The sequence below is a fragment of the Homo sapiens genome, chromosome 2 (genome assembly GCF_000001405.40).
Source record: "Homo sapiens chromosome 2, GRCh38.p14 Primary Assembly".
In the NCBI taxonomy this organism is placed as follows: domain Eukaryota; kingdom Metazoa; phylum Chordata; class Mammalia; order Primates; family Hominidae; genus Homo; species Homo sapiens.
This window is the reverse complement of record NC_000002.12, coordinates 103,668,319-103,672,873: the sequence shown is the minus strand read 5'-3', so window position 1 is coordinate 103,672,873 and position 4,555 is coordinate 103,668,319. Positions and strand designations below refer to the sequence as shown.

The following is a 4,555-nucleotide window of genomic DNA, read 5'->3' as shown; positions in this document are numbered from 1 at the left end:
ATCCCAGCACTTTTGGAGGCCTAGATGGGCAGATTGCTTGAGCTCAGGAGTTCAAGAACAGCCTGGGCAACATAGCAAAAATTTGTCTGTATAAAAGAAAAATATAAGGCCAGGCCTGGTGTCTCACGCCTGTAATCCCAGCACTTTGGGAGGCCGAGGCAGGCAGATCATGAGGTCAGGAGTTCGAGACCAGCCTGACCAACATGATGAAACCCCATCTCTACTAAGAATACAAAAATTAGCCAGATGTGGTGGCACATAGCTACTTTGGAGGCTGAGGCAGGAGAATTACTTGAACCAGGGAGGCAGAGGTGGCAGTGAGCTGAGATTGCGCCACTGCACTCCAGCCTGGGCAACAGAGCGAGACTCTGTCTCAAAAAAAAAAAAAAAAAGTAGAAGAAAAATGTATATACAATAATTTCTTAACTTTCACAGCCTCCTGCTCCTGATATAGAATACTAAAATATCTACTTCAAAATGTGATATGAAAATTAACTGATATAAAAAATGTAATGTGAACATTCAAGAAATGGTTATTTAGATTCTCAAAGGCGATGTCAAAGGTAGTAAGCATTCATAAGGGGCATAACATATAATTAAGATATATTTTGTATAGCATAGAGGAGAAAATAAACTTGCCCTCAAAATACTTAAAAATATGGAACACAAAATATATATGAACGTCAGTATATTAATCATAAGAATCTTCATCTAACATAGGCTAGATTTCATTTTCTTCCAGGTTATAGAATAAGATTGGCAATTTATCTAACACATGTGATTTTATGAAATTTTCAAACTATGTAAGATTTGATATGGTTTGGATCTGTGTCTCCACCCAAATCTCATGTTCAATTGTAATCCTCAGTGTTGGAGGTGGGGCCTGGTGGGAGGTGACTGGAGCATGGCAGCAGCTTCTAATGGTTTACCACCACTCCTCCGGGTGTAACTCTCATGATCGAGGGTAAGTTCTCATGATATATGGTTGTTTAAAAGTGTGTAGCACCTCCCCTCTCTCTCTCTTCCTCCTGCGCCCACCATGTAAGACGTGCCTGCTTCCCCTTTGCTTTCCACAGTGATTGTTAAGTTTCCTGAGGCCTCCCCAGAAACCAAGCAGATGGCCAGCATTATGCTTCCTGTACAGTTGGTAGAACTGTGAGCCAAGTAAACCTCTTGTCTTTATAAATTACACAGTCTCAGATGTTTCTTTATAGAAGTGTAAGAATTAGCTAAAACAAGATTATAATAATTAAATCTTTGGCTAACTACTAGGGCTCAGAATTTAAGTCAAGGACTCTTCTTGTGTGTATATTTGTGAGTAGGTGTGGTAATGTCTATCTTGGTTATTATTGTATTAATCTCATGTCATGTTGGTGACATTGTGGCTATATGTAATTCTTGCACATTACCTCAATAATATGTTTTCATAACCTAAAATACATATATAAAATAATTATTTAGAGTATTATTGATTGTGTGTGTGTGTGCATTTGAAAAAAGAGAGAGGGTGACATTGATCGTTTTCTGAAATATCTAGTTACTGCTTTCCTGAAGAAGTTATATTTGAAACTTCATGTAATTTTTCCATTTTTATATTAAATCATGTCTGAAAAATGTTCTGAAAAAAGGGTAATACAAAATAATTATGAAAATGTTGGCTTTATATCTTCTCTTCAGGGTATATTAATTAATAATGGGTAATATTAAGAGGTTCTTGTCTGCTTACAAGAGTGTGTAATTTTAAGTGGAGTCAATGAAAAATGTATCACTGAAACTGCAATTGCTGATATTTGTTGGGAAAAATTAAGGCAAAGAGCCTTAATATCTCCCTTACCACTGCTGAATGTTTTAACAATTATATACATTTATTTACTCCATAAAATAATTTTGTACCTGAAAGAAAATAAAGATAATACTTTATTTTTTTGTAAAGACCTCTTCTTTCTTATTAACTAACACTGAATAAATCTATATTAAGTGTAGACCCAATAAACACTACCAGCAGAGCTGTGTGAAAAGCCAAATGCAGCAGTTGATTCACCGAACCTGTTATAACTTTCTGAATTAGTAAAACTAAGGTGCTCTATTCGGAAGTTACAGTCTTTTCTAGGTAAATAATATTATGCTTGGTTTCCAAAAATCTTTAAAGAATAAATTTTGGTAGAACAATAGTTGTTATACCTTATATCATTTGGATAACTATTTTCATTATTGCCCATCAGCAGTGACACCTCCAGGGTCATTAAGCCGGTGGACAGCCCTAATGTGTCCTTGTTCTTATGAACAGAAAAATAAAGCTTACACTGACTGCAATGGTTTGCTGCTCATACTTACGTTGAAATGTTTCTCACACTGGAAGATTTTCATATTTCCAAATAAAATAGTCTACAGAAAGATTGAAGGGAAGGAGTTGTTATAAAGGACATAAAACAAAGGAAAACAAAACAAACATCAAAGAAAAATATCCATTTCAGATATCAGCAACTACCAAAAACTTCTCAAAAACATCAGAGCATTATATGAAAATTAGACTAATGTGGCCACAATGTGAGAGCTTTTGATGTGAACTAACAAAAAAAAACTCATTTAATGAAAACAAATTTATTTTTTTCTCTCATATATACATATATAAATATATATGTGACATATGTCATAGTTCATAGATATATTTGAAGAACTGTAATCACTGTCAGTGTCTCAAAGAAGTGAGAAATAAAGTCTGCTCCACTATGCTCTGACACAGCTTTTAAGCTTTTGGTTTGCCAGAAGTAACTCAGAAGCCTTTAGATCAGGAGGTCTTTTATGCTTAGGAAGGCAAGCTCTGTGATGATATTGATCGGTTTCAAGGGCATATTAGAAATGAAGCCAAGTCTCTGGAGAGAGGTTGCCATCACCTTGACCTTGGGTCAGCATTAGACCACTGACCCTTGAACCCCAAGACCTATCTACCAGATTCTGATATCTTTTATGCCAACTGAGTAAGTCAGCAGGGTACACATGTCGATGTGGCTCTTGCCAAATCAGAATTGACTGGCCAGTAGGAAGCCTGCGAGCAGCGGGAAATGTGGGTTAAAGTATGTCAATAATGTTTCAGAAGAATGATTTCTCCCAAGAATTGTAGCTGTTGGAATGTTTTGACATTTATTCAGCAGAGAAATGTAGCATGTTTTGTGAAGCACTTCAAGAGAGCTGCTGCTAACTGCTGTGGTATATTGATCTTTCTGTTAAATTGCATGGGCACACTTGGGAGATCATTGAGATTCAGGCAACAGGACAGAAAGGATCGGCTGCACCCGATGGTCACTAATGGTAATTGGTTTCGATCCTTGCACTTGAAGAAGCCGTGATTTACTTGGTTCACTGATGAATTGTAGACACTAAATATTTTGAAAGAAAAAAATACCATTTTTAAACATTTACAAGGCATCACCTCCATTCCTGAATATCTCATATTTAATACATTCAGCAATGTAGAAAATATACCAAGTCATATTGTTTAAAATTCTGATGTTCTTGCTGATGTTGCCAATCTTTACTTATACCATTTGTTTGTTCATTAGTTTATTTCTCAACTTGTTCGTAATTGAATTTAAGATAGTCTATTCTGCGCGTTTTTCACTGAAATGTAGTTTTATAATTATAAAAAATACATCTATAAGAGTGCATAAGAACATAAAGAGGAAACCAAATGACTTTTTTCTTCAGTCATGTGCTATTTTCAAAACTTTATTATATAATTTTTACACTTATAATGTAAACATTATTCCACATTAATACATACACCAATAATTCATTATCTTAGTGATTACACAGTAAACAATAGTATAGTGTCTGTTGAGGATCAATATTTACTTTATTGCCAACCATTTCATTTTTTTGCTAATTCTAATAATTCTCCCATATAAACATGTATACACACACGCACACATATACACATATGGCTGTGTATATAGAAAGACAGATATGTATATACGTATCTCTATGTATGTATTATATACATTTTACATATACGTATATATAAACACATAGATATGTATATACATAGGTATATATACACATACATATATCTAGCTATTTACCTATGTACATACCTATGAATATGTATATATGTACATGTATGTGTACATATGCCTGCATAACATATATTATACATAATATATGTGTATATATGCCTGTGTATATATATGTATATACATATATATGCCTATCTACCTATATACATGCAGTATTTTTGTGTATAATACATGTATGTGTGCATATACCTATACAATATATCCATTATATATGTGTTACCAATGTATATGTATTTATGTATACGTATGTACATAGTTGAATATAGGCATGTATATCTATGTATACATACATCTCTATCTATTTACCTATATACAGAGGGGTATATACATTTGTGTTTTATAATGCACATACACATATACACATATGTAATACATATATGATACTACACACACAATTCTGCCACACATATATAGACAAATGCCACCTGTGTGTATGCATATGTGTGTGTAATATATATATGGTTGGCAGAATTGTTAGAACT

General features: G+C 33.9%; 1 annotated feature.

The window, feature by feature from the left end:
• Positions 2,540 to 3,874: an enhancer, noted in NCBI's record as "VISTA enhancer hs1147". NCBI's record gives its function as "enhancer in: dorsal root ganglion[6/7] | trigeminal V (ganglion, cranial)[4/7] | cranial nerve[6/7]" and the evidence as "EXISTENCE:transgenic organism evidence [ECO:0001131][PMID:17130149]".